A 24,203-nucleotide genomic window follows, 5' to 3' on the forward strand; every position below is an offset into this window, starting at 1 on the left:
ATACATAGATGTTACTCCTATATGACTATTTCTCTTTCTCCTGGTTTTGGGGTATATATATTACATCTATTAATATTACAAATCCAACAATACATTATTATAAGGATTACTTCAGCAGCTATGACCATTTTTATTAGCATCTGTGATCATGTACCTCCTTCTGTTATTGTCAAAATACATACATTAAACTTCTGTGTTACAGGATCAACTTATACATTATATACACATACTTTTATGCAGTTTTCAAAAAATCAGTTGAGAAAAAAGTGCATTTATAGTGTTTTTTATAATGACATAATTACCTTTACATGCTCTTTCCCTCCATATATATGATTATTTTGTTATGTATATATATATTTTTTTCTTTTTTTTTTAAGACAGAGTCTCACTCTGTTGCCTAGGCTGGAGTGCAGTGGTGCGATCTTGGCTCACTGCAGCCTCTTCCTCCTGGGTTCAGCCATTTGTGTGCCTCAGCCTCCGAGTAGCTGGGACCACAGACGCACACCACTATGCTTGGCTAATTTTTTGAATTTTTTGTGGAGACCAGGTTTTGACATGTTGACCAGGTTAGTCTCCTGATCTCATGTGATCCACCTGCCTTGGCCTCCCAAAGTGCTAGGATTACAGGTGTGAGCCACCACACCCAGCTAAGCCACCCCGCCCAGCATTTGTTGGTTTTTCAATCCATACTCTGTGGAGTCAAGCTTCTGCAGGCCACCATAAAGTATATGGTCAGGAGCTCAGGAGCTATAATGCATGTGGACACTGCTTCTCTACAAGAAGGAACCAACAGCTCATGGGGCTTTCCTGAAGACTTTTTTTTTGAGACAGGATCTCACTCAGTCACTCAGGCCGGAATATAGTGGAACCATCACAGCTCACTGCAGCCTCCACCTCCCGGGCTCAAGTGATACTTCCATCTCAGCCTCCCAGTTAAATGGGACTACAGGCACATGCCATTGTGCCTGGCTTAAATGTTTTTTTTTTTTTTTTTTTGAGAAATGTTTCCCAGGCTGGTCTTGAACTCCTGGGCTCAAGTGATCCTCCTGAACCAGCTTCCTGAGTAGCTGGTACCACAGGAGCTCACTATCACACACAGCTAATTTTTTTTAAAAGTTTTTTTTTTTTTTTAGAGATGGGGTCTCACCACGTTGCCCAGGCTCTCGTCATGAACCCTTAGGCTCAAACAACCTCACCTCATCTGGCTTTTTTAAAAAAATTTATTTTTATTTATTTATTTACTTATTTTTATTTTTATTTTTTATGTGGAGGCTTCTGGAGACGGCTTTGCTTTGGCCTGCTGTGTGGGTTACTGTGGGCTTGACCTGTGGCTATGGTTCTGTGATACTTAGCAATACTTTGCAAAGCTGCATCCTTGGGTTCCTGTGGCAGGCCCGTGTAGACCCCTCAACCTAAAACTGCTGCATTTGAGTCCTGAGTTGCTTGAAGCCCCTACCTGCATATCTTGCCCCAGAGGCAGCAGGGGTGAGTTGGCAGCTATTTGGGGAGGCACGTGCTGCAGTTGAGAGCACAACGGCTTTCCATTATTCTGAGGCAGTTGACTCTGCAGCTGTGACTGAGCCGAGGGCCACTGCTTCTCTAGATCCCAAGGACCCGAGTCCATTGGCAGCTGTTCCTGCAACATCATCCCCTCTGAGTAATTCTGAGGCTGTTGGTGCTGCTGTGGGTGATACTGCCAATCATTCTGCTGCTGTTCTTGCAGCAGTGAGAGACAGAATGAGCAAAGACAATGGTCTTTCTTCACCCCGTAAGCACCTTGAGCGTAATCCAAAAGGAAGGGACTTGCATGCTGGCTTTCCCTGGTTTCAGTCCTTTCTCCATGAAAATATGGCACAGAAGATGGGGGAGGATGAAGGCATTCTGCAGAGTTGTAGCTGAGAAAACGATAGGCAGTAGAATGCTCACTTCCTGTGTCACCTCCATACTCCAAAGCATAGCCTGGATGCTTTTCAGTACCTGCGACCAGATAGGAGCACTGGGAACCCACCTGTTGACTGGGAATCCCTTGTTTCTCCAGAGAAGAGCACATGGAGCCCACCTGTTGACTGGGAGTCTCTTGGTTCTCCAAAGAGAAGCAATTGTAGCCCATCTGTTGACAGGCAATCCTCTGTTTCTCCAGAAGGGAGCAACCAGGTCTTCTCATCAGAGCCCTCTTGGCACAGGAAAAACTCTGCTCTGTGGCATAGTTGGAAGCTGCAGCCTGGGTTTCCTGGAGGCTTAAAAATGGACAGGCTTGGACTGGGAAATCGTGTTTTTTCCAAGTAAGAAATATTCTTTGTCTTTCTTCCGGTGGAAGTCTGGCTCTATTGTTCTGGAACCAGTTCTAAAGGGAAAAGATAATATTGTATTATCAAATCTACTTCTCTGATTATATGCCTCTATGCATTCCTTAATGTAGGAGGCTTTTTCTTTTTAAGCCTTTTAAAAGCAGAGTCCCTGACTTGCCTTCAGACATTAAGGCTTATAAAAAATAAGACAATCTCCCTAGAACTGCACATATGATACCGGAGGTCATGCATCATGCATTTCTAGAACCATAACCTCCTTCACTGGAGACAGTGACACCATGGTTTACGTGTAAACCTAGGCTGTCTGGAATCTATCTCCAACCTACTTGTGACCTATATGCAATCTTCTCCTGCTTGCTCACTGAGACCCACTCTGTGCTACAGAAGAGGCTCCCAGCTGTCCCACCTAGACGTGGATTGTTCCTACAACCCTGCTACTTTACTCATGCTCTTCCACCAGGAAGAATTAATAATGTATTTTCTGATACCATTTCTGTTGCATATATGCACATAATTCTTACATACATTGGGTTCAAGTTTCACAAGTAAAGAGTGCAATTGTTTCAATTATTTATTGACCATATATTTGTTGTATGACTCTGTGAGGAGAAGAAACAAACCATTTTTCCTCTGCTCTCATACCACAACAGTCACAGAAAGACTACTGTGAGCAAATGTGTTTCCCCACACACAAGGCAAGCAATCAGTTCTGCAGTGCACACCAGCTGGGTGTCCTCCAATTCAATTCCAGCACTGCCTACCTGGAAACACTGTCAGATCCCACAGGTCGAGGGCTCAGTCCTGCAAGACTGCCCCTCCTTCAGATGCCAGTTGCAAGTCTGGGCTTTTATAACTTTTGACTGACTGGCTTTGGGTTGGGGCTCCTGTGACCTCCTTTTTGGGTTTGATTAACTTGCCAGAGCAGCTCACAGAACTCAGGGAATCACATATGTTTGCCAGTTTGTTACAAAGGATATAGATTCATAGAGTGAGATATGGGGGAAGGGGTGCAGAGCTTTCATGCCCTGCCTGGACAAGCCACCCTCCAGGAACTTCCACATGTTCAGCTATCTGGAAGCTCCCCAAACCCACTTTTTTTTTTTCCCTTTTTCTTTCTTTTCTTTTTTTTTTTTTTTTTAACGGAGGCTTCATTGCACAGGCATGATTGATTAAACCATCGACTGCTGGTGATCAACTTAACCATCAGCGCCTTCCCCTTCCCAGAAGTTGGAGGGTGGGGCTGAAAGTCCCAACCCTCTAATCCTGCTTGGATCTTTACAGCTCTCATCCTGAAGCTACTAGGGTCTACTACCATCAGTCAACTCATTAGTGTAGAAAAAGACATAGCTTTGGAGATTCTAAGTATTTTGAGAATTGCATGCCAGGAAACAGCAGAAGACCAAATATATATATTTAGAATAACCCTAGTTATTTCATTCAATTTGTCTAATCTTTATTTTTCTCTCCCCTAGAAAGAGGATAATATGCAAATACCCAAATTATTCAGGCTTTGAGGGAGGCAGAGATGAGAAAATGCTTTTTGTATCCCAAGAAGCTATGGTTTGAATAAGGGAGATAATTCTTTTTTTTTTTTTTTTTTTTGAGACGGAGTCTCGCTCTGTCGTCCAGGCTGGAGTGCAGTGGCGCAGTGTCGGCTTACTTCAAGCTCCGCCTCCCAGGTTCATGCTATTCTTCTGCCTCAGCCTCCTGAGTAGCTGGGACTACAGGTGCCCGCCACCAAGCCCGGCTAATTTTTTTTGTATTTTTAGTAGAGACGGGGTTTCACCGTGTTAGCCAGGATAGTCTCGATCTCCTGACCTCATGATCCGCCCGCCTCGGCCTCCCAAAGTGCGGGGATTACAGGCGTGAGCCACTCACTGCGCCCGGTGGGAGGTAATTCTTATAGTTCAGGCTACAGGGTAAGTTACTTGCATAATCTAACAGGAACCTCTCATTTTTATATTTCCATGCCCTGTGCTACTAAATTCAGAATTGCTTTAGGCTATTAGGAGCACTGAAGCTACAAGGATCTTTGATCCACACACAGGATAATTGTTTAAAACAAAACCATGACTAGGCACAATGAACCAAGCACCTATGACAGAGAAAATTACACATATTTTAGAGAAAACTGAGGTGCAGGAGTGCTATGGTTTAAATGTCCGCACCAAAACTCATCTTGAAACTGTAAACCAAAAATACAATTCTAAGGCCCCCTAACCATCTTAACGGACCCCTCCTCTCAGCCAAGGGCTGTCCAAAGTTAACTGAAAAACTAGTTCAGACCTTGATAGCAAAGGGGAGCCACACCTGCCTCATTATACCCTCCTTTCTTTTGGGATTACTGATAAAACAGTCTCCTCAAGTATGATAAGAAACATAGAACAAGGTTGGCGCGGTGGCTCACGCCTGTAATCCCAGCACTTTGGGAGGCCGAGGCAGGTGGATCACGAGGTCAGGAGATTGAGACCATACTGGCTAACATGGTGAAACCCTGTCTCTACTAAAAAAAATACAAAAAATTAGCCGGGCATGGTGGCGGGCACCTGTAGTCCCAGTTACTCAGGAGGCTGAGGCAGGAGAATGGCATGAACCTGGGAGGCGGAGCTTACAGTGAGCTGAGATCGTGCCACTGCACTCCAGCCTGGGCGACAGAGCAAGACTCTGTCTCAAAAAAAAAAAAAAAAAAAGAAACATAAAACATACTCTTCAAGTCTGATAAGAAACATTTACAGTCTATTCTGAAATCTGGTACCTGGTGGCTTCATCAGCATGACAACACTTTGGTCTCCACAATTCCTTATGGTAACCCAGACATTCCTTTCTAGTGATAAAAACTCTTTCAACTAACTACCAATCAGAAAATCTCTGAATCTGCCTATGACTTGGAAGCCCCTGCTTCCACTTGTCCTGCCTTTCCAGACCCAAGCAATGTACATCTTACATGTATCGACTGATGCCTTATGTCTGCCTAAAATGTATAAAACCAAGTTGTGGCCTGACCACCTTGGGCACATATCATCAGGACCTCCTGAAGCTGTGTCACAGGCATGTTCTTAACCTTGACAAAACTTTCTAAATTGATTAAGATCTGTCTCAGATACTTTTGTTTTATAAAACTGTATCTTCAGCCGGGTGCAGTGGCTCATGCCTGTAATCCCAGCACTTTTGGAGGCCGAGGTGGGCAGATCACCTGAGGTCGGGAGTTTGAGACCAGCCTGACCAACATGGAGAAACCCCGTATTTACTAAAAGTACAAAATTAGCTAGGCATGGCGGCACGTGCCTGTAATCCCAGCTACTTGGGAGGCTAAGGCAGGAGAATTGCTTGAACTGGGGAGGCAGAGGTTGCAGTGAGGTGAGATCGTGCCATTGCACTCCAGCCTGGGCAACAAGAGCAAAACTCCATCTCAAAAAAAAAAAAAAAAAGAAAGAAAGAAAAACAAACAAAACCCCAAAATCTTAATCTTCAACATGGCAGCACTGAGAGGTGAGGCCTTAAAAGGTGATTGGATCACAAGGACTTTGCCCTCATGAATGGATTAACACATTCATGGATTAATGGATTAATGGGTTATCATGGGAGTGGTACTGGTGGCTTTACAAGAGTAAGAGACCCCTGAGCTAGTACCCTCAGCCACCTTGCCATGTGATACCCTGTACCACCTTGGTCCCCACCAGCAAGAAAACTCTCACCAGATGCAGCCCTTTGACCTTGGACTTCTCAGCCTCCCTAACTATAAGAAATAAATGTTTTCTTTATAAATCACTCAATTTCAGATATTCTGTTCTAAGCAACAGAAAAGGCACTAGGAGAGTCAAGAATTTGTCAGAGATTATAGAGCCAGTGGGAGGCAGCGCTCATGAGAGTCTAACCAAAAAAAGCAAGTGCCTGCTTTCATATATCACAAGCTCAAAGAACATCTGGGAAATTCATCCCAAAAAATAATTGCCTAGGCACATTGTCATCAAGTTCGTCTAAAATTAAGATGAAGGAAAGAATCTTAAGAGCCATGAGACAAAAGCACCAGAAAACCTATAAAGGAAAACCTATCAGATTAACAGCAGATTTCTCACCAGAAACTCTACAAGCTAGAAGGGATTGGGGCCCTATCTTTATCCTCCTTAAACAAAACAATTATCAGCCAAGAATTTTGTATCCAGTGAAAGTAAGCATCATAAATGAAGAAAAGATATAGTCTTTCAGACAAACAAATGCTGAGATAATCTGCCACTACCAAGCCACACTACGAGAACTGCTAAAAGGAGCTCTGAAATCTTGAAATAAATCCTGGAAATGCATCAAAACATAGCCTTTTAAAGCATAAATCTCACAGGACCTATACAACAAAAAAACACCAAGGTATAGCCAGGTGCAGTGGCACATGCTTGTAATCCCAGCACTTTGGGAGGCTGAGGCGGGTGGATCACTTGAGGTCAAGAGTTTGAGACTAGCCTGGCCAACATGGCGAAACCCCAATTCTACTAAAAATACAAAAATTATCTGGACATGGTGGCAGGCGTCTGTAATCCCAGCTACTTGGGAGGATGAGACAGGAGATAATCACTGGAACCGGGGAGGAAGAGGTTGCAGTGAGCCAAGACTGCACCACTGCACTCCAGCCTGGGCAACAGAGCAAGACTCTGTCCCAACAAACCAACCAACCAAGGTATACAGGCAACAAATAGCACAATGAATGGAATAGTACCTCACATCTCAATACTAACATTGAATGTAAATGGCCTAAGTGCTCCACTTAAAACATATGGAATTGCAGAATGGATAAGAACTCACCAATCACATATCTGCTGCCTTCAAGAGACTCACCTAACATGTAAGAACTCACATAAACTTAAGGTAAAGGGGTGAAAAAGGACATCCATGGCAATGGATACCAAAAGCAAGCAGGAGTAGCTATTTTTTATCAGACAACACAAACTTTAAAGCAACAGCAGTTAGAAAAGACAAAGAGGGACATTATATAATGGTAAAAGGCCTTGTACAACAGGAAAATATCACAATCCTAAATATATATGCACCTAAAGCTGGAGTTCCCAAATTTATAAAACAATTACTACCAGACCTAAGAAATGGGATAGACAGCAATACAATAATAGTGGAGGATGGCTGGGCGTGGTGGCTCACACTGTAATCCCAGCACTTTAGAGGCTGAGGCAGTCAGATCACCTGAGGTCAGGAGTTCAGGACCAGCCTGGCCAATAAGTCTCTACTGAAAACACAAAATTAGCCTGGTGTGGTGGTACATGCCTATAATTCCAGCTACGTGGGAGGCTGAGGCAGGAGAATTGCTTGAACCTGGGAGATGGAGGTTGCAGTGAGCTGAGATAGTGCCATTGCACTCCAGCCTGGGCAACAAGAGTGAAACTCTATCTCAAAAAAAAAAAAAAAAAAAAAAAATGGAGGACATCAATACTTCACTGACAGCGCTAGACAGGTCATCAAGACAAAGTCAACAAAAAACAATGGATTTAAGCTATACTCTGGAACAAATGGACTTCACAGATATTTGCAGAACATTCTACCTAGCAAGTGCAGAATGTACATTCTATTAATCAGCACATGGAATTTTCTCCAAGATAGACCATATGATAGGTCACAAAACAAGTCTCAATAAATTTAAGAAAACTGAAATTATATAAAGGACTCTCTCAGACCACAGTGGAATAAAACTGGGAATCAACTCCAAAAGGAACCTTCAAAACCATGCAAATATATGGAAATTAAATAACCTGTTCGTGAATGATCATTGGGTCAACAGTGAAATCAAGATGGAAGTTAAAAAATTCTTCAAACTGGCCAGGTGTGGTGGCTCACACCTGTAATCCCAGCACTTTGGGAGGCTGAGGCGGGCAGATCACCTGAGGTCAGGAGTTCGAGACCAGCCTGGCCAATATGGTGAAACCCTGCCTCTACTAATAATACAAAAATTAGCCAGGTGTGGTAGCGTGTGCCTGTAGTCACAGTTAGTCAGGAGACTGAGGCAGAAGAATTGCTTGAACCCGGGAGGTGGAGGTTGCAGTGAGCTGAGGTCATGCCACTGTACTCCAGCCTGGGCGACAGAGGGAGACTCCATTTCCAAAAAAAAAAAAAAAAAATTAGAAAAAAATTAGTAATGAAATTACTTACACAATATTTTTGTATTTTTTTCATATAAAACCTGATCTGTATTCTTATTCTAGTTTATATTAATGGGCACTTTCTTCCAAGTTTCAAGCAACCAATAAATCTGCACTATTACAGAACACAGAGAGCAAGGGAAATCTTTGCCATTCTCTTATAAAATATAACTCTAGTTCAATCAATTTTTATAGTGATTAACAGGCATTTTCTCAACTGATTCTATGATATCAGAAAAATGTCCACAAATATTGGTTCATGCAGCAGATAATTGTAAAGCCCTTACCACTCTGCTAGGGCTTGTGCCAGATCCCAGGGCATTATTCATAAACAGGCAATTTTCAAATTTGTATCTTCTACTAAGTGCCCTCCCCTGAATTTCAGACTTGCATATTCAAATGTTCTCTTAGTATTTCCACTTGTATATTTATCTGACATGTGAAACATGTGTCCAAAATGTAAACTTTGATTTCTCTGACACACCTGCCCCTACCTAGGTCCCCTCCTTAGTAAAAGGCAATTCCTATCTTCCATAGACTTAAGTCAAGCATCCAAGTAACCTTTGAGTCCACCTTACCTTTCACAGCATATCCCACACATAGTAAACTTTGTCAGCTCCATCTCAAACATCTACAGTCTCATTAGTCCCATCCACCTGCACAGCTAGCAAGCTGGCCCAAACCACCGTCACCACCACTAACTACAGCAGCATCAACTCATCCACTGCTTCCAAATTTGCCTCACTGCAGTCTAGTTTTCACAATACATACCCACTGTATTTTCACAAACATACATAGATAATAATACCGTTTTCCTATGTGATGAAATGCTATATACTGCTTAATTCTCTCTCTCTCTCTCTATATATATACATATATATTTTTTTTTTTTTTTGAGACAGAGCCTCGCTCTGTCACCCAGGCTGGAGTGCAGTGGCGGGATCTCTGCTCGCTGCAGCCTCTGCCTCCTGGGTTCCAGCGATTCTCCTGTCTCAGCCTCCCAGGTAGCTGAGATTACAGGCACGCACCACCACTCCCGGCTAATTTTTGTATTTTTAGTAGAGAAGGGGTTTCACCATGTTGGTCAGGCTGGTCTCAAACTCCTGACCTCGTGATTCGCCCACTGTGGCCTCCCAAAGTGCTAGGATTACAGGCGTAAGCCACCGCAACAGGCCTATATTTTTCATATTGTGTGTGTGTGTACAATTTTCTCTCAAATTGGTTCTGGATACCAAGATCTGAGGATGTTTCTGTCCTTTACATAAAACTGTGTAGAATTTGCATATATGCTGGGCATGTCCTCTCATGTCCTTAAAACCATCTCTAGATTACTTACAAGACCTAATACCTAATATAACACAAATGCTACATAAGTAGTTCTTATTCTGTATTGTTTTAAAATTTGTATTTTTTTTTAATTGTGCAGTGGTGGGATGAAGGCTGGGATTACAGGTGTGTGCCACTGGGCCCAGCCTATTTTCTTTTTTTAAATTTTCCAAATATTTTCCATTTGTGGTTAGTTAAATCCGTGCATGTGGAACCAGTGGATGTGGAGGATTAATTGTATAGATGTATATATTTTGATTACTCTCTCCCATTTCTTTGAATTCTGTACCTTTTTATCTAATCTTCTGGCTTCTACCTCCATCTATACTTATTGCCCTTTAATTTTCTAGGAAATGGCTGGAGATGGTGGCTAACGCCTGTAATCCCAGCACTTTGGGAGGCCGAGATGGGTGCATTGCTTGACCCCAGGAGTTCGACACCAGCCCGGGCAACATGGCAAGACTCCCATCTTTACAAAAAATACAAAGCCCAGTGTGGTGGTGGGAGCTTGTAGTCCTTGCTACTAAATGGGGAGCGCTGAGGTTGGGGAGTCACCTGAGCCCAGGAAGTTGAGGCTGCAGTGAGCCGTGATCGCTCCATTGCACTCCAGACTGGGCGACTGGAGTGAGACCTTTCCTAAAAAAAAAAAAAAATCTAAGAAACATGCATACGAGGTTGAACTTACGTTTATCACGTTAACCGGACAATCAAATTTGTTGGCCAGTGTTTTCCTAGTGGTGAAATCAGGATAACCGTTCTCTCCAAATATTTCCTTAAGTTCCTGCAATAATTCTTCAGAAAATTTATGTCGGTGTTTTGTTTTTCTTTTTTTCTTTGTTTGTCTTTCTTCATTATGATGATCCTCTTCAGCTGGGAAAGCTGACAAAAGTATAAGTAGCGAGAAGAGCATTGGAGAATATTGGTAATAACCAGACCAAAGAAGAGTGTTAGCACCATTGATTCCCTCCCCTTCCCAAGTTGAAATCCAGGCGTGACCTCATAGCTACTCACAATAATAAAATTACACATGAAAGCAGGAATTGGCTAACTCTAGGCCTATGGGCCAGATCCAGCCAGTTGCGTTTTTGTAAATAGAGTTTTTTTGAAACACCAGTCACCAGCCACATTCTTTTACTTATGTCTTGTCTATGGCCGTTTTCAAGCCACAATAGCGGAATCGGTAGTTGAGGCTCAGATGTGTCCAGGGTCCACACAGCCTAACATATTTACTATCTGGATTTGAGAATTTATCTTTTATTTATTTATTTATTTTGTCATCCCGGCTGGAGTGCAGTGGTGCGATCTTGGCTCACTGCAACCTCTGCCTCCTGGGTTCAAGCAATTCTCCTGCCTCAGCCTCCCAAGTAGCTGGGATTACAGGCACCTGCCACTACGCCCAGCTAATTGTTTGTATTTTTAGTAGAGACGGGATTTCACCATGTTGGCCAGGCTGGTCTTGAACTCCTGACCTTGTGATTTGCCTGCCTTGGCTTCCCAAAGTGCTGGGATTACAGGGGTGAGCCACCGCGCCGGCTGAGAATTTATCTTTAAAATTAGAACTAATTGCAGAAGAATATTTTATTATTTCATCACTGTAATATACAACAGGAAAAACTGATCTATACTGATTGGAAGGCAGGATATGGGCTACTGAGGGAACGGAATCGGAGCCTGAAAGGGAGAGAACAGAGGCCTCTGGGTGCCACTAAGTTCTCTCTATCTGAGTGCTCTCTGAGTTCCATGAGTGTAGCTGGTTTGTGAACATTTGTTAAATTAAACATGTGTAAATATTTGCTATTTTTGGCATGCACAGTATATTTCAGTTAAAAGTTTATTGATTTGTTTATTTTTGAGATGGAGTCTCACTGTCGCCGAGGCTGGAGACCAGTGATGCTATCTCTATTTACTGCAACGTCCACCTCCTGGGTTCAAGCGATTCTTGCGCCTCAGCCTCCTGAGTAGCTGGGACTACCACCCTCAGCTAATTTTTGTATTTTTAGCAGAAATGAGGTTTCCCCATGTTGGCCAAGGCTGATCTCCAACTCTTGAGCTCAAGTGATCCACCTTTCTCAGCCTCCCAAAGTGCTAGGATTACAGGCATGAGCCACCACGCCAGGCGTAAAATTTTATTTTTTAATAGCCTTCAAGCCTTACTCAATCTGTACCCTTCTGTAAATTTATTCCTGACATCGCTTCTTCTTTTCCCCCTCACTCAGTGCCCCGCAGCTATGTCAGTCTCTTTGCTTGTCCTTTGAACACCTGGAGGAATCTCCACTCGGGCTATTCTCTCTTCCTGGGAAGGTCTCCACTTCTTCCTCTTCTGATCCCCTTGATTCACTCCCTCACCTCCCTCCATGCCTTTGTTCAAAACTCACTTTCCCAGGGAGTCCTACCCTAACCACCCTATTAAAAATGGAAAAACAGGCTGTGTGCGCCGGCTCACGCCTATAATCCCAGCATTCTGGAAGGCCGAAGCCAGCAGATAACTTGAGGTCAGGAGTTCGAGGATAGCCTGGCCAACATGAAACAAAAATTAGCCAGGCGTGGTGGTGTGCACCTACAATCCCAGCTATTCGGGAGGTTGAGGTGGGAGCATCGCTTGAGCCTGGGGAAGGCAGGGGCTGCAGTGAGGAGAGATCGCTACACTCTACTCCAGCCTGAGTGATAGAGTAAGACTCTGTATCAAAAAAAAAAAAAAAAAAATTGAAATACCTTTCCAGATCAGAATTCTCAATTTCTTTTATCCTACTGTTTTTAGTTCCTTTCTCTGTAACACTATCGTGACTCAAAATTACCAAATAATTCACGTGTTGATGACACCATCTGTCTTCCCTTCACTTCTCTACAAACATACTAGACTGGAAGCCCCAGAGAGCATGGCTTTTAGTCTATCTTATTTACTATTTTTTGAAAGCCTAAAGTAGTGCCTTATAAAAATAGACACTTTAAAGCACAACATAGGCTGATTGAAAACAAAAAACCCCAAATAGAAACACAATAAATATTTTTTAAATGGGTGAATTAAAACAAATATTTATGAATGAAGTAACTGGTGTTAAACACTGATGCAAAAGCCCCGAGCCCTGAGAAAGACTAGAATGTTCTAGAAATAGCAAGGAAGACACTACGAATGGAGTACAAAGTGTGACTGAAAAAGAGAGAGGAGGCAAGGTGAGACAGTAAATGGAATCCAAATCAGGGGGGCTTGCAGCCATGTAAGGATGGCTTTTGCATGCTAATAAAGGGCAAAGATGTGGCTAGAATGGGGCGAGCCATGCTGTCACCTGGGACATGCTAAAAAACTCATTAATCTAACGGGTGCGATGGCTCACACCTGTAATCCCAGCACTTTGGGAGCCTGAGGTGGGCGGATGACTTGAGGTCAAGAGTTCGAAACCAGCTTGGCCAACATGGTGAAACCGTCTCTACTAAAAAAAAAAGAAAAAAAAAAATCAGCTGGTCATGGTGGCGGGTGCCTGTAATCCCAGCTACTCAGGTGGCTGAGGCAGGAGAATCGCTTGAAACTGGGAGGCGGAGATTTTAGTGAGCCTAGATTGCACCACTGCACTCCTGCCTGGGCTACAGAGTGAGACTCCATCTCAAAAAAAAAAAAAAAATTTCCTTGATTGGCATTGGTTTACAATTTCAAAATAATTTCGCACGTATTGTAGGACAGAGCAAGTGAATATAAATTGAACCAGGGCATTCACTGTAAGAGAAGGGGCCACAAATGTACAGTAGGAAAGTTAAGAAAGAATCTTGTGTATGCCGGGTGGAGTGGCTCACACCTGTAATGCCAGCATTTATAATTTTTTGTTTTGTTTTGTTTTTGAGATAGAGACTCACTCTGTCCACCCAAGCTGTAGTGCAATGGTGCAGTCATGGGTCACTGCAGCCTTGACCTCCTGGGCTCAAGTGATCTTATCAACTCAGCCTCCCAAGTAGGACTACAGGCTTGCAATACGCCCGGATAATTTTTGAATTTTTAGTAGAGACAGGCCTTCACCATGTTGACCAGGCTGGTTTTGAACTCCACTTGTAGGATCAAGCAATCCTCCTGCCTTGGCCACCCAAAGTGTTGGGATACAGGCGTGAGCCACCACACCCAGCTAATCCCAGCACTTTGGGAGGCTGATGTGGGCAGACTGCTTGATTGCTTGATGCCTGGAGTTCCAGACCAGCCTGGGCAACAAAATGAGACCTCAGTTTTAAAAAACAAAAACAAAAACAAAAAACAAAAAAGCAAAAAACAAATTAGCATGTGTGGTGGCACGTGCCTGTATTCCTAGCTACTCCTGAGGCTGAGGTGTTTGCTTGAGCCCAGGAAGCTGAGGCTGCAGTGAGCCGTGCACGTGCCACTGCACTCCAGCTGGGGATGACGGAGTAAGACCTTGTCTCAAAAAAAAAAAAAAAAAAAAAGACAAAAAAAAGAAAAAGGGAACCTTGTGACCTTGTGTAGTCAATTCTGATTTGGAGGCCAGGTGTGGTGGCGCATGCCTGTAATCCCAGCACTTTGGGAGGACCAGGCGGGCAGATCACTTGAGCTCAGGAGTTTGAGACCAGCCTGGGCATCATGTTGAAACCTCTTCTCTACGAAAAATATAAAAATTAGCTGGGCATGGAGGCACATGCCTGTGGTCCCAGCTACTTGGGAGGCTGAGGTGGGAAGTTTCCTTTAGCCTGGGATTTGGAGGCTGCAGTGAATGGTGATACTGCCACTGCACTGTAGCCTAGGAGAGAGTGAGTGCTAGGATTACAGGCATGTAATCCTGTCTCAAAAAAAAAAATTAAAAAAAAAGTCTGACTTGGAGATATCAGTTTAATTTCATCACTTAAAAATAATTTCCTAGGTCTGTCTACCTGAAAGGTCCAGAAGCCATTAAACCCCCTTAGTAACCAGCACACCTAGGGCCTAAACTATAGTTTGATAATACCAATTCCTATTAAAAGAAACCGGAGTTTTCTTAGTAAATGGCTGATTCTAGGTCTGGGGCAGAAAGGCACAAAGCAAGATTAGAACATCCTACCTGTGGCTCACAACTGTAATCCCAGCAATTTGGGAGGCCAAGCGGGGGCGAATGGCTTGAGCTCAGGAGTTTGAGATCAGCCTGGGCAACATGGCAAAACCCTGTCTCTACCAAAAATACAAAAAATTAGCTGGATGCAGTGGTGTGTGCCTGTGGTCCCAGATACTTGGGAGGCTGAGGTTGGAGGATCACTTGAGCCTGGGAGGCGGAGGTTGCAGTGAGTTGAGATTGTGCCACTGCACTCCAGCCTGGGTGACAGAGAGAGATCTCGTCTTAAAAAAAAAAAAAAAGATAAAAAAAAAAGATAAAAGAAAAGAAAAAATTCCATCAAAAAGACGAAAATACTTATGAATAACTTTAACAAAAGAAGTGCAAAATCTGTACTTTGGCTGGGGGTGGTGGCTCACACCTGTAATCCCAGCACTTTGGGAGGCCAAGGGGGGTGGATCAAGAGGTCAGGAGATTGAGACCATCCTAGCTAACACAGTGAAACCCCATCTCTACTAAAAATACAAAAAATTAGCCGGGTGTGGTGGCAGGCACCTGTAGTCCCAGCTACTCGGGAGGCTGAGGCAGGACAATGGTGTGAACCCGGGAGGCGGAGCTTGCAGTGAGCCGAGATCGCACCACTGCACTCCAGCCTGGGTGACAGAGCGAGACTCCGTCTCAAAAAAAAAAAAAAAAAAAAAAGAAGTGCAAAATCTGTACTTTGAAAAAAAATTGTTGAATAAAATTAAAGTAGACCTAAATAAATGGATAGTTTATGTACAAGATTCAGAAAACTTAATATTGCTAATATAATTATGTTCAAGTTGATCCACAGATACAATACAAAGTAAAAATCCCTATCAAAATCCCAGCTAACTGCTTTGGAGAAATTGATAAGCTGATCTTAAAATTCATATGAAAATTTAAGAGGCCCCAAATAGCCAAAATAATCTTGAAAAAGAACAAAGATGGATACATACTTCCTGATTTTAAAACTTACTATATATATATGCAATACCATTGATATTATTATTTGAGACAGAGTCTCGCTCTGTCTCCCAGGCTGGAGTGCAGTGGCACGATCTCGGCTCACTGCAACCTCTGCCTCCTGGGTTCAAGCGATTCTCCTGCCTCAGATTCCTGAATAGCTGGGAGTACTGGCGCACGCCACCATGCCTGACTAATTTTTGTATTTTTAATAGAGATGGGGTTTCACCACCGGGTGCGGTGGCTCACGCCTGTAATCTCAGCACTTCGGGAGGCTGAGGCGGGCAGATCACAAGGTCAGGAGTTCGAGACCAGCCTGGCCAATATGGTGAAACCCCGTCTCTACTAAAAATACAAAAATTAACCAGTCATGGTGGTGGGCACCTGTAGTCACAGCTACTCAGGAGGCTTAGGCAGGAGAATCGCTTGAACCCAGCAGGCAGAGGTTGCAGTGAGCCGAGATCGTGCCACTGCACTCCAGGCTGGGTGACAGAGTGAGACTGTCTCAAAAGAAAAAAAAAAAAAAGAGATGGGGTTTCACCATATTGGTCAGGCTGGTCTTGAACTTTTGACCTCGTGATCTGCCCGACTTGGCCTCCCAAAGTGCTGGGATTACAGGTGTGAGCCACCGTGCCCAGTACATTGATATTATATTTAATTATGTATATGCAATATTATAATATTATATATAATATCAATGGTATTGCATTGAGAGTTTAGAAATAAGCCCTCACATTTCCAGACAACTTATTTTCAACAAAGGTGTCAAAATAATCATTGTGGGGAAATAATCATCTTTTCAACAAATGGTGGTGGGAAACTGGGTTTTCAGAGAAAGAGGAGGGAACAAAAATTCACCGAAGAAAAAATGTTTGGAAGTCTTGTCCTAGAGCATCAAACAGTGGTGAGCCACTGAGGCTACCTTCACGCCACACTCCAAGTTCTGGGGCTACTCCCAGGTCCCTGAGATAGAGCTCATTCCTATCAAAGCTTTGTGGTGAACCTTTCATCCCAAAGTTTTTATGGTTGGGCCATTGTTACTCTGGGTGCTCTTTGCTGTAGATTTTGCCTCCAGGACAAATACAGTGGTGGGGCAAGATTTGAAAAATACAAAACAGGCCAGGCATGGTGGCTCACACCTGTAATCCCAGCACTTTGGGAGACCGAGGTGGGTGGATCACCTGAGGTCAGGAGTTTGAGACCAGCCAGAGCAATGTGGTGAAACCCCGTCTCTACTAAAAATACTAAAATTAGCTGGGTGTGGTGGTGGGCGTCTGTAATCCCAGCTACTTGGGAGGCTGAGGCAGGAGAATCGCTTGAACCTGGGAGATGGAGGTTGCAGTGAGCCGAGATCGCGCCATTGCACTCCAGCCTGGGTGACAAGAGCAAAACTCCGTCTCCAAAAAAAAAAAGAAAAATACAAAACACACAGTGAGCTTACGTTACACGTGACCTTCTCGCTCCATCCAGGGGTCATCAATAACAATAAACCTAAGCCTAACCCAGCATGCTTCAACTGTTTTCAAAGAAAGAGTGACAAAGCTTCTTCCATACTTTACATATGGAAGTTCTCACAATATTTCTGAACAAAATCACAGAATAAAAAACTGCCATATTTGTGAGCTAGGAAAAAAAAATACCTGGGACATTTTTGTTTTTTAAGAGACAAGGCCTCACTCTGTCACCCAGGCTGGAGTGCAGTGGCATGATCATAGCTTATGGCAGTTTCTAACTCTTGGGCTCAGATGATCCCTCCTGCCTCAGGCTCCCAAGTAGCTGGAACTACAGGCATGCACCACACCTGGCCAATTTTTATTTCTTTTGTAGAAATAGGGTCTTGCTATGTTGCCTAGGCTTGTCTCAAACTTCTGGACTCAAGCTATCCTCCCACCTCTGCCTCCCAAAGTGTTGGGATTACAGGCATGAGCCACTGCTTCCAGCCTCAATTGCTCTCTGCTTTAATAATTATTAATACACAGCCAGTCTTTGTCTGATCTAGAACCCATCCATTCAAACTTCCCCCCAAGATTTTTTACCTTTTAATAAAATTTGATCTGTAGGTATTTTTGTCTGTCTAAAAACTAAAGAATTTTATAAACAAGAATCATAATTGGGTTTAATTTTTAAATGCCTAGTCCTATCTAAAAGCTGCAGTGTCCTGTTGTACCCCCAGTGAATAATATCAAACTGACTGCCCACAATCTTCACTATTATAAGGTAAAAGTTGAAACCCTACAAAACCCTCATTTTCATGGAAACAGTCTTCTCACAACAAAACACATTGAGTTCTCTACCAAAGGCACTCACCTTGGGAAGACATGTCGAAACTCCAGTCCAGGGCCTTTCCAACTGAAAAAATAATGAATTGTAAAGCTGAATTACTTTAAATATACTCAGAGGTGCCCACCCTAATCACGCCTCCACCCTAGTCATGCTTTTTTGATTTATTTACAGAACCCACCTTTTCAAATCCTATCTTCTATTCATTGAGATTAATTTTCTTCTTTAATTCTTTAATATCACATTTTCATCCTCATTTTACAGGTAAGAACCTTTGGTGTAGAATGGTTCAGAGCCCAGGGTCAGCTCTCCGACCCTGGCCGTCTGACAGCTGATTCCATGCCTGTCACCACACACTTATTCTATATAACAGCGATTCTGTACACTCTTGTGAGAACTAAAAATAAAATTCCAAGTCCCCCAAACAACTCAATGGACTGACCCCTTTAGTCAAAGGGACCTCAGAGAAACCTTAAAAACTGAGTTCTGGCAGGGCGTGGTAGCTCACACCTGTAATCCCAGCACTTTGGGAGGCTGAGGTGGGGGGTCACCTGAGGTCAGGAGTTGGAGACCACCCTGGCCAACATGGCGAAACCCCGTCTCCACAAAAAGTTCAAAAATTAGCTGGGCGTGATGGTGGATGCCTGTAATCCCAGCTACTCGGGAGGATGAGGCAGGATAATCGCTTGAACCTGGGAGGCGGAGGTTGCAGTGTGCTGAGATCACGCCACTGCACTCCAGCCTGGGTGACAGAGCAAGACTCTGTCTCAAAAAAAAAGCAAAAAAACCCCCAAAAACTGAGTTCCCAGCCGTGATGAGATGGGATGTCAGACATACCTCATTATATTTCTCACTTTTGTGGTTTAGACACAGCTGACCAGCATTAATATTTAAATGGAGATCATGAGACTGACAAAATGAACTCTTGGTGGCAATAAAACCAAATTAGTAAACAGGACCTAAGGCACTGTGAGGCATGGATTAAGTTTCACGCAGTCTTTTACTTAAAGAATAAACTATGCGCTGGGCATGGTGGCTCACGCCTGTAATCCCAGCACTTTGGGAGGAAGAGGCAGGAGGATCCCTTGAGGTCAGGAGTTCAAGACCAGCCTGGTCAACATGGTGAAACACCCCGTCTCTACTAAAAATACAAAAAAATTAGCCAGGCACTGTGGCGTGTGCCTGTAATCCCAGCTACTCAGGAGGCTGAGGCAGGAGAATTGCTTGAACCCAGGAGGCGGAGGTTGCAGTGAACTGAGATTGCACCACTGTACTCCAGCCTGGGCAACAGAGCAAGACTCTTGTCTCAAAAAAAAAAAAAAAAAAAAAAAAAAAAAAGAATAAACTGTGCTCTAACTGCCACAAGGGTTTTCTTTATCTCTAGCAGCTAAACAAGCACTGGCCTCGAGATAAGCAATGTTGAAGCAGTTGCGGTTCACCAACCATTAGATACCGAGCTTCTCTGTTCCAAGAGCCATAACTACAGCTTTGATTGAACAATAGGCTGATTTATTTAATTCTCCACTGCTAAGGGACCGCTGACTGAAACTGACCCAATAGTTTCATTGACAGCCTTTTTTTTTGATAAACTAGAAATGGGCTCTTCTTGTCTTAAAGCTTGAAACTTATGGTTTTATGTGAGTTTTTATTTTTTTATTTTTAGGAAAGAACTCCCAGGCCTCTCAAAAAGTATTAAAGAACTAAAACTTGGCCAGGCACAGTGGCTTACGCCTTTAATCCCAGCACCTTGGGATGCTGAGACGGGTGGATTACTCAAGGTTAGGAATTCCAGACCAACCTAATCAACATGGTGAAAAGACTAGCTGGGCGTGGTTGTATGTGCTTGTAATCCCTGCTACTGGGTGGCTGAGGCAGGAGGAGGCTTGAACCCAGGAGGCAGAGGTTGCAGTGAGCCAAGATCATGCCTCTGCACTCCAGCCTGGGTAACAGAGTGAGACGCCAGTCTCAAAAAAAAAAAAAAAAAAAAAGAATTAACAAAGAACTGAAACTCACTGGATCATCACATCTAAACAATGATACCCCAGTCCCTTCATTCATCACAATTGCTTCCTTACCCGTCCTGAGTTCCTGTTTTCACATACATGGTTACATTTCTTCCTTGCTATATAAACCCCTAATTTTAGTCAGTCAGGGAGATGGATTTGAGACTGATCTCCTACCTCCTAGGCTGCAATAATCATTATCTCAGTGATTGGCTTCCTTTGTGGCCAGAAGCCCGACCTAGACTGAACCCCTGGTGTTTTGGTAACAGATTTTGGTTCCCTGACTGGGAATGCATTGCTCATGGCTTGGCTGCCAAGGGCTGGGAGTCTCAGAAGCTCTCCTAAGCTGCTACCAACCCAATTTTGGCTGGAGGTGAGTTTCTGTCTCTCCCTGGCCACACTGCAGCCAGCCCCAGCTATGTTCCCGATTGCCTGGGAAGAATAGCCTTTGAAATTTGACATCTGTATCCTGATAGGTGAATGTCCTTTGTGGGTCCATACGGCAGGATCTGCTCCTCTCAACTTGGGAAATTTTTAAAGGAAGTTCCATTTGTAGGTTGAACAAGGCCAACTGGCTGAGAGAGGAAATGCCCTGTTTTAGAGTGGACATTCCTGAGGGATTGTTGTGTAATTGTGCATTGTGTGTGAGCCCAGGCAAGTGAGTGTCTTTTGTGGGTACCAGACAACAGGATTGGTTCTCAACTGAGAAATTACGAAGGAATTTTTGTTTGTAGGTCGATCAAGCCCAACTGATGGAGAGAGGAAGCACGCTGATTCTTTCAGTGTGGACACTCTCCAGACTTGCTTGCTGCTGCAGCAGTTGGATTGTATTTTGGTGATTGTTGTGTGTGTTAATATAGTCATGAGAAATTATTTAATGTATTAATTAATTTATTTTTTGAGACAGAGTCTCACTCTGTCACCCAGGCTGGAGAGCAGTGGTGCGATCTCTGCTCACTGCCACATCCACCTCCCGGGCTCAAGCAATTCTCCTGCCTCAGCCTCCCAGGTAACTGGGATTACAGGTGCCCACCACCATGCCCAGCTAATTTTTGTATTTTTGGTAGAGACAGGGTTTCACCATGTTGGCAAGGCCAGTTTCGAACTCCTGACCTCAAATGATCCGCCCACCTTGGGCTCCCAAAGTGCTGGGATTACAGGCATGAGCCACCACGCCAGGCAAATCATGGGAAATTAGAGTTTGATAAACTGATGTTATCTGGTAATACTGTTTGGCCCAAGTGTTTTTTGAAATCTGAAGTTTGCTGTTGAGTGGGAAATTGGAATGGAATTCCATGTATCCAGGCTTTGATGCTGTTGTTCTAAGCAGGGCTGGGCCTGATTAGTATGTGACGTCTTTCTGTGGTGCTGTTTGGCCCCACTATTCTTTAGAGTCTGGGGAGGTTTGGCCTTTAAAAATCAAACTGCCATGGAAACTGCTTTACCAAAAATTTTGGTTGATAGCCTTCATTGGATTACCTACCAGGGCAAACAAAGTGCAGCCACGTAAACCAGTGAGTTAGTATTGCTGTCTTATGGCTAGACTTCTGAGGTTAAACTACTGGATCTTTGTTTATGTGTGTGTATACATGTCTAGATGTGTTTTTGTACGTACATTTATTATATGTTGTGTTTGCCAAATTGGCTTATAAATAAAAGAGCGCTCATAAATTAAACCAAAAGCATTTTTTAAGTTCATGTGACTTAGGTAAACCTTTAAAAAGGCTTTAAGATTATTGGTAAAATGAAAAAATAGAAAGGCCTTCAGAATTGTCAGCATAAATTTTTGTCTGGATTTTATATTTGTCTCTGCTAGATATTTTGAGGCCTCAAGGTTTGGCATAGAAAGTTATAAAACTATGGGGCCGGGCGCAGTGGCTCATGCCTGTAATCCCAGCACTTTGGGAGGCAGAGCGGGGCGGATGACCTGAGGTCGGGTGTTGGAGACCAGCCTGACCAACATGGAGAAACCCCGTCTGTACTAAAAATACAAAATTAGCAAGGTGTGCTGGCGCATGCCTGTAATCCCAGCTACTTGGGAGGCTGAGGCAGGAGAATTGCTTGAACCCGGGAGGCAGAGGTTGCAGTGAGCCAAGATCGTGCCATCGTACTCCAGCCTGGGCAACAAGAGTGAAACTCCATCTCAAAAAAAAAAAAGTTATACAACTATGAACCCAGAAAAAACAAAATAATCTTGGTTTATGTGCCTTTTTTGACAAGTGAGACTAATTTAATGTTGTTAGTGAATCTTCTGAGTTACGGGAAAAATATCTACGTATTTACCTTTAAGATTCCTACTTAGGTGAGTACCTGATGTTCACGGGCTATTAAAAAGACTGATTAACAAGGAAATAACTAAGTTTATCTAGCTGTGTCTAATATCTCAGTTTTCAAAAAAAATCTCAATTTTCAGAAGTAATCCAAGTAAATTGTTAAAAATGAAAGAATTGAGTCCATGTAAATAAGATAAATGTTGCAGGTGAACTCTTTGTGTCATTGAAAATCTTAAAATTATTTTTGATGCTCATTGGATGTCAAGGTCATTTCCAATGAAGACAAAGTTATGATGTGAAGCAATATATTTCTTTTTAAAATTTATTTATTTTAAATTGCAATGTTTTTTGGGGAACAGGTGGTTTTTGGTTACATGGATAAGTTTGTTAGTGGTAATTTCTGAGATTTTTGGTTCACTCGTCACCTGAACATTGTACACTATACACAATGTGTAGTCTTTTATCCCTCACTGTTTCCCACCCTTCCCCTGAGTCCCCAAAGTTTATTATATCATTCTTATGTCTTTGCATCCTCACAGCTTAGCTCTCACTTGTAAGTGAGAACATAAAATGTTTGGTTTTCCATTCCTGAGTTACTTCACTTAGAATAATGGTCTCCAACTTTATCCAGGTTGCTGCAAATGCCATTATTTCATTCCTTTGTATGACTGAATAGTATTCCATGGTATGTATGTATATATATACATTACATTTTAAAAATTAACTCATTGGTTGATGGGTGTTTATGCTGGTTTCATATTTTTTCAATTGTGAATTGTGCTGCTAGAAACGTGTGTGCAAGTGTCTTTTTCCTATAATGACTTCTTTTCCTCTGATGTGGGATCGCTGGATCAAATGGTAGTTCTACTTTTAGTTCTTTATGGAATCTCCATAGTGTTTTCCATAGTGGTTGCATAGTTTACGTTCCCACTAGCAGTGTACAAGTGTTCCCCTTTCACCATATCCACGACAACATCTACTATGTTTTGATTTTTAATTTATGGCCATTTTTGCAGGAGTAAGGTGGTATCTCATTGTGGTTTTAATTTGCATTTTCCTGATAATAAGTGATTGGTAAGAGGCAGAAAAGAGACAGAGACAAGGGTTGGGGTGGCTGGACAGTAACACGCGTTTATTGGATGAGGAAATCTGCGGAGAGAGACACCACTGAGCGCAGGAGTCCTAGCCCCGCTTACAGACTAGGGCAGTTATAGGTCCGGCGGGGAGGGAGGGAAGTGTTGCAAAACGGGATGGGGGTAGTGCCGCTAGCTGCTGAAAAGGGAGAAAATTCCCGTGGTCAGGTGGTTGGGCCTGGGACCTGCCTGGTTGTTTCCACGGCCTAGGCCCCAGTGGAATTTTCCATCCTGGCGAGGGTGTCCATAATGGCAGGGGTTTACAGGATGGCACAGCTTGGCTAACATTCCTGTCTTTTACTTCTGTATAAAACGAATAGAGGCGTTGTTGATTATGTGACTGCTTCCTGCTGAGTAGGGGCGCTGAAATCAGGGTTTGGGTTTTGAAGCAGTGGATGTCGGACTTCAGAGTCGCTTTCACGGAGGCTCTGATACTGGACTTGGTGGAGGAGAAGGATGGTATCAATATGTTTCTGGGTGTTTGCCTGGCCAAGAGAGTTCAGCCTTTGGGAGATAAAGAGGGATATGAAGGTGAGTATGCATGGGCCAATTGTTAGTATTAGGAGGAGGAAGATTAGAAGCCCTAAGAAAGGGACATCCCAACGCATCCACTTTAGGAGGAATGACCCCTGCCACCAAGAGTCAGTGACTTGAAGTCAGATTTCTACAGCCCTGTCACAGAGCCTGCGGGCTGTGTCACAATCAATGCCAGATTCATTAACATAAAACAGCATTCTTGC

General features: G+C 43.3%; 1 protein-coding gene across 1 annotated transcript; it reads right to left on the reverse strand.

Moving 5' to 3' along the window:
• Nucleotides 1,322-18,104, reverse strand: CPHXL2 (cytoplasmic polyadenylated homeobox like 2). Its single transcript, NM_001395862.1, has 3 exons — nt 18,082-18,104; nt 10,458-10,651; nt 1,322-2,344 (listed from the first exon to the last, which is right to left on the reverse strand). The coding sequence occupies exons 1-3, from the start codon at nt 18,092-18,094 to the stop codon at nt 1,349-1,351; spliced, it is 1,203 nt and encodes a 400-aa protein (NP_001382791.1). The 5' UTR covers nt 18,095-18,104; the 3' UTR covers nt 1,322-1,348.

Source organism: Homo sapiens, chromosome 16, assembly GCF_000001405.40.
Source record: "Homo sapiens chromosome 16, GRCh38.p14 Primary Assembly".
NCBI classification, from domain to species: Eukaryota; Metazoa; Chordata; class Mammalia; order Primates; family Hominidae; genus Homo; species Homo sapiens.